The sequence below is a fragment of the Homo sapiens genome, chromosome 2, assembly GCF_000001405.40.
Source record: "Homo sapiens chromosome 2, GRCh38.p14 Primary Assembly".
NCBI lineage: Eukaryota > Metazoa > Chordata > Mammalia > Primates > Hominidae > Homo > Homo sapiens.
This window is the reverse complement of record NC_000002.12, coordinates 170,522,022-170,534,498: the sequence shown is the minus strand read 5'-3', so window position 1 is coordinate 170,534,498 and position 12,477 is coordinate 170,522,022. Positions and strand designations below refer to the sequence as shown.

General features: G+C 41.2%; 1 protein-coding gene across 11 annotated transcripts in view; it reads right to left on the bottom strand.

Annotated features, from left to right (window-relative positions):
- Positions 1 to 12,477, bottom strand: part of MYO3B (myosin IIIB) — a 477,021-nt gene that overhangs the window by 120,669 nt on the left and 343,875 nt on the right. For 4 of the 11 annotated variants that reach the window (XM_011510654.4, XM_011510657.4, XM_011510656.4 and 1 more), the window contains one exon: positions 7,297 to 7,404. The exons of 6 other annotated variants lie outside the window; for them this stretch is intronic. In XM_011510654.4, the coding sequence (XP_011508956.1) occupies positions 7,297 to 7,404 (108 nt within the window). Of the gene's footprint in view, positions 1 to 7,296; positions 7,405 to 9,872; positions 9,995 to 12,477 lie in introns of all 11 variants that reach the window. One more of the 11 variants, NR_045682.2, reaches the window with a different exon arrangement.

Here is a 12,477-nt window from a genome sequence, read left to right as displayed (position 1 = left end):
ACTCCAGCCTGGGTGACAGAGTGAGGCCCTGTCTCAACAAACAAACAAACAAAAAAACAGGACACCCAGTTGAATTTGAACTCCAGACTAACAACAAACATATCTCAGAGATACTGTGGGTTTTGTTCTAGACTTCCTCAATAAAGCAAATATCACAATAAAGTGAGTCACACACATTTTTTGGCTTCCCAGTGCATATAATTTTTACACTATTATCTATTAAGTGTGCAACAGCCTTATGTCTAAAAAATGTACATACCTTAATTTCAAAATATGGCTAAAAAATTCTGACATAGAGACATGAAGTAAGCACATGCTGTTAGAGAAATGGCAAAAACAGACTTGCTCAACACAGGGTGGCACAAACCTTCAGTTCGTAAAAAACACAACATCTGTGAAGTGTAATGAAGCAAAAGGGAATAAAACAAGGTATGTTTGTAATTATTTAGTAAAAGTATTTTCAAATACTTAACGGGACATACTTAAGCAAAAAAGACTATTTGTTGTTTATAGAAAATTCAAATCTAAGTGGGTATCTTGCATTTTTATTTGCCAAATATGGCAACTCTAACTTGGGCAAATCACCTCTCCCCTTCTTCATCAGCAAAATATAAATAAAAACTCTTGCCTGAGCTAAGGAAAAAATGATTGCATTTGTTCTCCTGGGCAGAACAAAATAAACACACAAGACAAGGTTTTAAAATAATTAAATTAAAGATGCATATATAGTCAGAAGTTAGAAATAAAACACATACTTAACAATGTGGTTACTTATTGTTTATGATTTTGCACATCTGAAAGACAAATCCGTAAACATGGAAACTTCAAGGGAGAATAGTAATGATGAGGTATCTGTGTGGCTGCCTTTCTAGAATCTGTGCTTTTCCTTCGGCTGGAGTCTTAAAGTAACTTGTGGGTTGAGCTACTTTTGAGTTACAGTTCTAGCAGTTTAAGACTGAATTAGGCCAAGGCATAGACTTGTAGAGAAAAAGGAAACTTCAGAGACCATTTATTACACCCTTTTCATGCTGTAACTGGAGGATGTTCTTTTCACCACTGCACACCCCCCCCCCACCCCCACAAAAGATAATATTTAACCCAGTTTTCCTCTTTTAATTCTGAAAGTAGTACTTAGTCCAGGGAAGGAGAAGTAAGAAGTGCTAAAATGAAGTGCATGACACACATGGCACTAAATGATGGGGCCCAAGGACAGGTGAGGGAGGGGGCGTGAGAGGAGGGACGGACATTTTCAGAAACTTTTACAAACGAAAAGCCTAAACAAGATTGTGTGCAGTGAGTGCTGACTAGTCAGCAATGTCACAGCCGAGAAGCTTGAGGACCATCACTGAGCACGGCAATGATGACGTGGAATAGACTTTTAGGTGTGAATGGAGAAAGATCAGGAGTCTAAAGAGAAAGTGGCTGATGAACTGCCCTGTCTAAAGGGCAAGAAGTGGCACTGACTTGTTTATTGCAACTTTTTATTTTGATTTAATTATATTAATAGAAAAGATGCAAGAATAGTATAAGGAATCCTATATATTCCTCAGCAGACTTACATATTTGCTTTGTCCTCTCTCTGTCTCTGTATTGATATATACACATACAAACATGCATAATTTTTTTCTGAACCATTTGAGAGTCAGTTACAAACCTGATACTCTTTTTTTTTTTTTTTTTTTGAGACAGAGTTTCACTCTTGTTGCCCAGACTGGAGTGCAATGGCTCAATCTTGGCTCACCGCAACCCCCACCTCCCAGGTTCAAGTGATTCTCCTGCCTCAGCCTCCCGAGTAGCTGGGATTACAGGCATCTGCCACCATGCCTGACTAATTTTTTTTGTAGTTTTAGTAGAGATGGGGTTTCACGATGTTGGTCAGGCTGGTCTCGAACTCCTGACCCCAGGTGATCCGCCCACCTTGGCCTCCCAAAGTGCTAGGATTACAGGCATGAGCCACTGCGCCCAGCCTACCTGATACTCTTTTATCCCTAAATACTTCAGTGTGTGTATTTTCAAAAAGGAAGGGCATTTTCTTATATGACCAGAATACAATGATCAAAATCAGAATTTAATATGACACTATTTTCCAATCTACAGATTGTATTCAGATTTTTCCAAATGTCTCAATGGCATCTTCTATAGCAAAATAAATTCCTAGATCATCTATTGCATTCAGAGGTAACGTTCTTTTAGTTCCCTTTCATCTGGAATAGTTTCTCAGTCTTCTGTCATGTTTCATTTTGGAGCCTACAGGCCGGTCATTTTGTAAAGGCTCCCTCTATTTGGACTTGTCTGCTGTTTCCTCGTGATTAAATTCAGGTTATGCACATTTGGCAAGAAATCCACAAAAGTGATGTTGTCTTCTTCTCAATACATCATAACAGGAGGCACATGCTGTCAGTTTGTTCAATTACTGGTGATGCTAACTTTCATCACTTGGGTTAAGGTGGTTTCTGCCAGGTTTCTTCACTGTCCTTTTGTAATTAATAAGTTTCTTATGGGGACTTACTCTGAGACTATGCAAATAGTTTATTACTCCTCAAACTTTCACATAGTAGTGTTAGCATCCATTCATAATTATTGCCTGAAACAATTATTTTTGCAGTTGCCAAATGATGATTTTCTGTTTTCTTAATTTCATCTACCTTTATTATTTCATATTTTATTGTAAGTCAGAGCTCAGCCTCTTCTCTTCCTTCCTTCCTTCCTTCCATCCATCCACATGGACTCATGATATCTTATTTTATTCAATGGATTATACTCTTTTGTCATCATTTACTTTGATACTCATAGTTTGGCACTGGATGATTTTAAAGGGTTGGGAGTAACAGACTTCAAAATGAGTACAAAATGCATAATACTAAGGATGACTTAAAGTGGATGCCTCAGAGATAACAACAACTCCTCTAATCACTACAATTTGTGAGTGCTTTTTATGCATCAAATGAGATGCTACATACTTTGTATATGTTACCTCATTTAACTTTCATGTCTTGGTGAGGTAGATATTGTGCTATTTGATCTTCCACTTAAAGATGAGGAAACTGAAGCCTTGAGAAAATAAGTGCGTTTATGAAGTTCTTACCCTGTAGTAGCAGGTCTAGTGGACTCTAGGGCCCTTGTTGTCAACCACAAGACAATCCCACAAGTAGGTGTAGAAAACCCCCAGGAAAGAATAAGGCTTTAAAAGCTGGGTTACACTATTCCTGAGGGTAGCTAGACACTTTTTCCAGGACCTACAGAGAAATCTGAACTTTTTGCATTTTTACAAATGGGGCATTTGGAAACTGTCTACATGTCTGTCATCACTCCAGGTACTTCCCTAACCTGCTTTGTGGAAACCATCCTACCTGCCTGAAATCCTGTAAGGAAAGCATAAAGAAAGAGATCATCTGTGTCAATGTCAGCAGACACAGATCCAGAAAGGCATGACTTGGTTGTGTCGCCCAGGGAAACATTCCTATGGGTCAAGATAAGACAAGTGAAAGCCATGTTGGGGTGGAGGAGAGGGAGGGGGAGAGGACTAAGGGAACAGTAGAGCAGAGAAATTCACTATCTATCCAATTCTTTAGATCCCAGGTGAAGACAAGGCTGTGGCTTCCACTGTTTGCCCTCCCTGCAGGCTAATATACTAAATCTTTCTTCTGGCAACAATGCCCCTTCCACCTTCACCACACCACCACTTTTAATATGAAGTTTCAGATTCTGAGAATGAGCTTAGGTGAAAGGATGCTTCATGCTAGTAAAAATAATTTAAACAACTGCCCTCCCTTGGAGAAAAAAGCACAGTTGGATCTGAGAATAACATCCTTGCTCTCCCAGGAGGAACAAACTAAAAATAAAAGTCAACAAGGTGCTTCCTGCCAGTCAGTAAATCCAATAAGCAAAGACGATGCCTCAACCTGGCGCTGGGTAGTTAACAGCTAGCCTGACTCCCTGCACCCGAGAGCGGCCATGTGGTTCTCAGAGCTAACAGCTGCCAAGCAGAACCCCTCAGATTAACCCATAGGTGGTGTTGAACCACTTCCCATTAAGATATTTGCAAAGCAAACAAAAATGATAGCCCCACTCTGAGTCCTGGGAGCTGGCCAGGAGCACTGGCTGTTCTTGTTGACACAAAGAGCTCTCCCGGGAGGGTCTGGATCAGAGCGAGGAAGGCCACTCCCACCTGCGTCTCCAGACTGTGTTGATCTTAGGCCATTAGAATTTTGGTATCAGGGACTGTTTATTATCTAATTTCCCAAGCACAGCAGTCGCTAGAGCTCTGTTTCACGAGAGCTCTCTATTGCTCTCTGTCTTCCCCACCTACACCATTCAGATAAAAAGAACAAATTCACCCCTCCTCCTGTTTTGTCTATTCATCAAGGAGACAAGTCTGAGAAGTTACTAAGATGCACACGGAGATGTTGTGGCATTACTACTGTTAACAGCTTTTAATGGCAAATACTCCAGTTTCTTCTTAATTTAAGGTGACCAGGGCGATGCTAGTGGAAAATATATTGGCATATTTGTTTTTTATAGTGAGGAACAAGCTGCTATTTAATTCACAAAATATACTTGGAACTGAAACACCATTATGTTTTCCTTATAACCCAGTGAAGAAAGTGAAGTTAATAAAATTGTGAAAATGTACAAAGTTAATCTTCTTTCAACATGTAGGATTATAATCTAGGTTTCATTATGTGTTGATAATGAAGCACTCTTATATAAAGTTCATTTTTACAAAATTTTGTTTCCTGCAATATTTTCCACTTGAGTCCATTTTCCTTTCTCAAACTTTTCAAAATAGGCTCAATATGTAAAGGTCTTTTGGGCAGAAACTCATTCTGAGCGGGAATATAATAAAGAGCTTGATGAGGATACAACGTAGGTACCAGCAATGTGCTGAATTTCTATGGGTAATGCAGGAAGGGGATGAGGGATGGAGAAATGGTTAGAGATCAGATTTTCTTATTATTTGAAATTGTCTTTTGGATCAGAAACCAGAACTTTAGAGACGTAGATATAAATAGTATAAGGAGAGAGACAAGAAGAAAGAAAAAAAAGGAAGAAGGAAGGGAGGGAGGGAGAGAAGGAGGACAGAAGGGAAGGAAGGAAAGGAGAGGTCTAAGGGAGACTGAAATTTTTTTTTTTTTTAACTTTTATTTTAGGTCCAGGAGTACATGCTCCGGTTTGTTATATAGGTAAACTTGTGTCATGGGGGTTTGTTGTACAGATGATTCCATCACCCAGGTACTAAGCTTAATACCCAATAATCATTTTCTCTGCTCCTCCTCCTCCTCCCGACCTCTAACCTCAAGTAGGTTCCAGTGTCTGTTGTTCTCCTCTTCGTGTCCATGTGTGAGAGACTGAGAGTTCTTTAGAAAAAGTAGAGGCATTATCATGCTAAAAATATCATACTAAAAAATTGACTTTTTATAAGAAAGAAGAGAGCTATCAGGTGAAATTAAACAGCAATTTTTTGGAATCTTGAGTACATGATTCAGTTTTAGATGAAGTTTATTCAAACGAAATTAAAATGGGTTTGAAAATGTTCAAGTTTTCCAGAGAGCACGTGAGCCTAACCTTGCTAGTCAACTTTGTAGAGCAACATTGTTGACAGCAAGTCTGTTTAGGGATAGATTAATGTAAACATAAACGTTCATGTCCACAGGTGATCACATTGAAGGCCTTGATGGGGATGATGATGTGACTTCAGCTATATAGAAGAAATGTTAAAAAACTGAAAATTGGTTCCCATGCCAAACCGTCCATCGTCGTCTGATGCATTGGGCACAAAAATATTTGCCTTGAGGCTGGGCACAGTTTCTCATGCATGCAATCTCAGCACTTTGGGAAGCTGAGGCAGGTGGATCACTTGAGGTCAAGAGATTGAGACCATCCTGGCCAACATGGTGAAACTCCGTCTCTATCAAAAATACAAAAATTAGCTGGTCATGGTGGTGCACAGCTATAGTCCCAGCTAGTCAGGAGGCTGAGGCAGGAGAATCGGTTAAACCCGGGAGGCAGAGGTTGCAGTGAGCTGAGATTGCGCCACTGCACTCCGGTCTGGCGATAGAGCGAAACTCCATCTCAAAAAAAATAAAATAAAATTTTGCCTTGAAGTGTGGATCACATGGCAGGCATGGGATATAAGAAAACCCAAGTCAAACATGCATTCTAACATCATATCTGCTGAAGTCCACCACATCCTAGTTCCTAGCAACTGACCCTCAATTTGAGATATTAACCATAGGCAGCTACCAGCCAATAAGTGAGCTTCCTAAAGAAAACACAGAAACATCTTCCCAAACTTGGAGCTTATTTTTGAGTTAGGAAGGTAGATGCATCACAGAAAAATGACATGGTGTTAATAGAATCTCCCTTCACTTGTTTAATTAGGATTTTCGACTTTTTGAGAAAGCTAGCTCCTTTATCAACTAACTAGGATGCTCAAATCAAACTCAAGGTAAATAGGAAGCATTTCTAGAGAACAAAGTAATTAAATTTAGCTTTGGACCTCACAGAAATAAAAACTCAAGGAGCACATATTCATTTGTCCATTCATCAATTATTTCATTTTATGCCAGTTATGGCCAAAGATTCTAAATTCTGGATTCTGTGAGTGCTACAGAAATGAGTGACAGTTTCAGCCCTAAAGTTTATTATCTCATGTGGGATACAGTAATAAGAGCTAACATTTTTGTCCACTTAACTACGTACTAGGTAGTCATCTAAACGTTTCCTATGGTTTATTCTCACAATGGCGGCATGAGGTAAGTACCATTATTAGAAACACACTTGCCCAAGGTCATTGAGGTAGTTGGACACAAACCTGGGCCAGAACAGAGGCAGTTTGGCTCCAGGGTCTGTAGCTGAATCGTTTCCTCTACCTAGATGGTGCTCTGCAGACAGCGGGAGAGAATCAAACTCGGATGCTGGCAGGCCAAGCCATGAATTAGGCAGGCGGTTAAGTAGGGATCTGTGAAAGATAGCTCCTGCTCACTTCCAGCAGTTTGCTGCCAGATACTCAGGTTTTTTAAGAGCTATCAGAAGTCCGAATGACATGAAATCTATTTTTATGTGTTAGAATCTAATTTTAAAAATTTAACAACATTCAGGCCAAACAAAACATGTCTGTAGACTATATTCTACCCAAACACTATGGGTTTACATCTTTTGACCTATAGAACAACAAAACATTTTGTGTACTTTTGAAGACCTCCCATATCTTGGTGCCTTATTCCCTGTAATAGTTCTTCCTGCCTCATACCACCCCCATCCTACCCTCTGCCTTCTTCTCACTGGACCTCTCACCTTCCAAGAATGGCTCTGCATATCCTGCCTCTGGCTATGGCCCACTCTTGTTTCTCCTGCCTGGGATGCTCTTCTCTTGCCCTTGTCTGTATGTCACACGAATGAGACCTTGAAGGATGAGTAAAACATCAGCAGGTAAAGACAGGACTGGCAAGGGAATTCTATTCAGATGGAATAGCGTGAACAGATATACAGAATATGAAAACAAAAGACATGTTGAAAACCACCAAAGAGTTCCAACTATTTTAAAAGAGGCCTCTGGTCCTTGGAATCTGTTCTTAGAAAGAGACTGTTGGCATTCTTGACATACAGAAATCTTCTAAAAGGACTCTTTGCATAAGGATCACTGATGATTTAGGGTTTGTTGAAATAGTTCAGATAAATATTTATGTACGGCCATAAGCAAGTCCCCAAGGAAAAATATAACTCAAAACAGATTTCTCCTTGAAGCTTCTTTCAGCTGGTGATAAGGTTTCTGCCTTCAAAAAGGTTTTGAAAATACACGTGACCAATTAATATTTTAAAAATCTAGAAAGTCTAAGAAAGCTCTAGCAATCAACTAAGCTCTGAATGTTATTATTTGAGGGTATGATAATGTCATGCTGGCAATGTTGGTAAGGGTGACTCCTGAACCCAAAGTCAATCTCAGATTCATTCCTGAGATAGGAGCCAGGAATACAAGAAAATAAAATTTGTCTCTAAAGTTAAAGCAGAGAGTGAGCATTGTTCAAAGTTTCTAAGGTGATGGAAACCTCAATGCTTATTTTAGTCTACAATTCTAGAGCTAAGTCAAAGTCTTGATCCTTCATATGAGTTTAACTTTACAGAAAACTTTTCCATACTAATATTACTACTATTATTGCTGCTACTTCTATCACCATGACCCACAACAGCTTGCCATAATCTCTTATTGAGTATTCATTACATGTCTAGAACTGTGCTAGTTCCTTTGCTTTGATTATCTCCAGTCCTCCCAATTATTCCCTTTTTGCAGTCTAGGATACTGAGGTTCAGAGAGAGGAAGGAACTTGTCCAATGTCTCATAGCTCGTAAGTAATTCAACTAGGATTCAAACCCAGGTCTGTCACCAAAGCTCATCATTTTTCTACCCAAATGAGACAATACATACAGTGTTTACCACATCTTAAGCACTTGATCAGAGAAGGCTACTATTCCTACCACCACTCCCACATCATGCTGCCATTTTCCCTCTGGTTTCATGTGGGGTCCTCTAACGTGTTAGTGCACTAACTTGACCACACTGGTAGGAAATTTGCTGGAGGATTTGTTCTGTTCAACAGTCTTAGAACTGCCATGTATTTCTGCCGTGACCCCTCACACACAATGTTCGTCAAGATATGTGACAATCTGTACTTCACAGCCCACATGAAAATCTGGCCCACAGTCGGCCCTGCTGACTGGGAGGCTGTTTCTCTGGCTCATCAATTCTGAGGTCAGCCCAATTGGCTCCAAGCCCCAGAGCTGCAAGGATGACACACAGGAGAAATATGCACTTGTTTTCCCCTTGTGAGGTGCCAGTTCTCCTTGAGCTGCCTGAGTCACGGAGGTTCCCATCACTCTGAATCTGAATCCTCATTGAAGGGCCCATAACGAAGCAGCTTCACTGGGGGTGTGTTACAAGCCGTCTTGTGAAAACATTTGCACCAGCATTATCAATCTCCTGCCTCTTCATATGAGTTCCTTTTACACAAAAACAGGCTAGCTGTGCTAAAGAATGTCACATAAAAGCCTTGTGAGAGCTTTGCCATATGCAGGCCAAATTAAATTAAGGGGCATAATCCTCACCATTGTATTTATCAGCATTAAAATGGGGGATTACCATCATGGGAACAAAGCCCCACAACATAAAAGACTATTTCCATTTTGGCATTCACTGTACACAGTTACAGGCTCACATAGGAAGTGAAGCAGAGAAGCATCAACCCAACCACTCACTTTTACTTTCAACTTGAGGTTTCCTTCTCTCCAGCCAAGTTAACTCTGTCCCATCATGCACAGATGGGAGCACCTTTCCCATGAGGCTTTAGGCTTTCTCCCAAGAACTGGGTGCTGGAATTTTCTTCATCAATCACAGGGTGACAGTTATAACAAGTAGGGTGTATTTCTCAGTGGGTGGTGATTTAAGATTTAAACAATGACAGGTATAGAGACAACGTGGGTAGAGAGAAAAAGCCTTGGACTAATTATCTGAGACCTGGAGCCTTGAGAGGCAGTAGAATGTACCAGTTAAAAAATGAGTGCTGTGGTCAGAAGGCCCATGTTCAAATCCTGATTCTGTCACTTTACTGATTAAGTAACATTGGCAAGTTACTTGTGATCTCTCAATGTCAGAGATTGTAAAATCTATACCTTTCCCATAAGGTTGAACAGGATAATGCGTGTAAAACCCTCAGCACAGGCCAGGCACGGTGGCTCATGCCTATAATCCCAGCACTTTGGGAGCCTGAGGGGGACGAATCGCTAGAACGTCAGGAGTTCGAGATCAGCCTGACCAACATGGTAAAACCCCATCTCCACTAAAAACACAAAAATTAGCCAGGTGTTATGGCACGCACCTGTAATCCCAGCTACTCGGGAGGCTGAGGCAGGAGAATCACTTGAACCCAGAGGGCGGAGGTTGCAGTCAGCTGAGATCATGCTATTGCACTCCAGCCTGAGCAACAGAGTGAAACTCCATCTCAAAAAACAAAAACAAAACCACTTAGCACAGTGCCCAGGAAATTGCTAATGAACCAAATGCTAGCAGTTGTTATTATTGTTGGAGACAGAAGATCTGAATTCAAAGCCCAGACCCACCATTTATTCTGTGTGACCCTGCATAACCCAGTGATTCCTCGACTAGCTGATGGGGGGCAGGTGTAGGTAGATCTGAAACCAATCCAGCACTGGTCTCTGAGATAATGTTTATGAGCTATTTGCCTTAGCTTTCCCCAGGTTCAGTTTATCTGTAACATAGAGTGAGTAACACCAACCCAGAAGGCTGGTGTGAGAATTACATGAGATAAAATGTGGGGGGAAAAAAAACTGGCATAGCAATAAATGCTAACAATCAATCTGAATGATCTCAACACTTCCCTTCAGTTCTTATTTGCAGCAATATTTCTTGACATATACGGATCGTCCTTATGAACTCTTCCCTCTGATTTTGCCTTCCCTTCATCTTTTCCTGGTACCTATCTGCTCCCATCACTGTCTCTCCAGGACTCTTGAGGCAGACCTTGTTGGTTGCTTCCCTCTTCCTTTCTTCTTTGCCTAATCTCTCAACCTCCTTTGCAGCTCTCCTGCAGAACCACCACTGCAAATTCTGGCCAATCATATGCAAGAAAAGTCTCCTGGGTGACTTCTGGGAAAGATTTCCCTCCTAGCAAATGGAGAGAGACTCCTGAGAAGAAGCCCCTTTCCATCCGCTTCTGTCTTCCTGCTCCAGACATTGGCATGTAAAGAAGTGATGTTTAGTGTTGCTTTGGCCACCTCGTGGCCATAAGTGGGGGCATGACTGACATGCTGAGAACAGCAAAGCAAAGAGATGCAAGGGGCCTGTGTCTTTGCTGACATTCCTGAATGGCTGACCGAGCCCTGGAACTTCTGTCTTTGGACCTTTTGTCTCGAGGGATCCTTGAATCTATGGGTTGAATGTTTGTTACTTCCAATGAGAACATCACCAGTGACACAATCCAGCTCTCTTCTTACTCTGCCCACCCCAAACCCCTCCCTACTCCCACCCCACCCTCTGCCCAAAAACTCCTTCCTATCAGCCCTTGTTGATTCACAGAACACTGAGTTGACAAACATAAGGGGGACAACAGAATCCCAGTCCCTGGATCAGGGATACCCTGGCCCACTGTTTGGTAAGTTATTCGGGATCCTCTTATTGTTGCCACTACCCAAAGACTGACAAGAAAAACACTTCCCTCATAAAAATCTGAGTGCTGAGAAGTGGCTTTGAAAGTTAGCTCAATAAACTTATTGAGTAGCTATTGTGTATATCGGATACAAGAAAGAGTAAGACTCAGTCCTCACTGTTGAGAAGCTAACTTGCTAGCACAAGGTCAACCATAACACCAGGCAAAATATGAAGAGCACCAGAGAGATTGAAACACCAAAGTGTGGTGTGAGGACCCAGTCTGTGAACTGTTACTACTCACAATGACATAAGGGGCTAGTGCCAGAATGTAAATCAATTCATCACCAAGTACATTGTTTAGTTCAGCTGATTTTTTTTAGTAACAAGAGTTTCTTAATGAAGAAAGCAGTGAGTTGATTTACATTTGGGCACAAATTCATTATCCTGTTGTGAAAAAGCACTTTGAGTAGTACTGTTACAAAAGGGCTACAGCTCAAGGAGTATTAAAAAGAATTAGGTCTTCATGGAGGAAAGGGATATGATAATGTGTCTTGACCAAAAGGTAAGAGCTGAACAGAAAGGAATGGGCAGAGAGAAGAGAGGAAGGTGCACCGGTAGAACAATAAGAAGTCTGATTCTGGTTAGCCATAAGGTGTATTAGGGACAAGGTGGAGGTGAGCCTGGAGGACAAACTGAAGTGAGCTAGAGAGAGGCGTGGAACAGCAGCCTGAGAAGTCGGAACCTTTTTTGGTCTAAAATAGGAAGCCATTAAAGTTCTTTGAACAAGTCAGAATATGTTGTAAGACAATTGATCAGGTGTGAGAAATGAAAGCTGGACTGTAAAGACAGAAGGAGAAAGAAAAAGAGATAATGGCAGTCCTGGACCAGGAAAGAGTATTTGGAAAATGACTGGAAGTGAGATTAAGTGAGAGGTAGGGGTCAAGAGTGACTGTGCCAGGTTTGAAGGCCAGGTCACAAGACAGTGTTTATGTCAATCATAGAAGTGGGAAGGGTGAGTGGAGGAGGTGCTTTAGGAGGGGCTTTTCTGTTGAAGTCTTGGTGTGTGAATCAGGAATATATGTCCACTGTGAGTTGGGTGTAGGAGTGTGGAGCTCAGAACAGAGACTTGCGACTCGTGCTCACCTAGCAGAGACTTGATACCAGAACACACTGGTGAGAGATGGTATCATCCAGGGTGAGAAGGAGAGAAAGGAGAGAATCTAAGACTTGGAGAATTGCCTTTATTTTAATGGTAAGCGGAAGAGAAGAAGAATGGAACCAGAGAAAACAAAGACTGAGAATACCTCTGAGCAAGC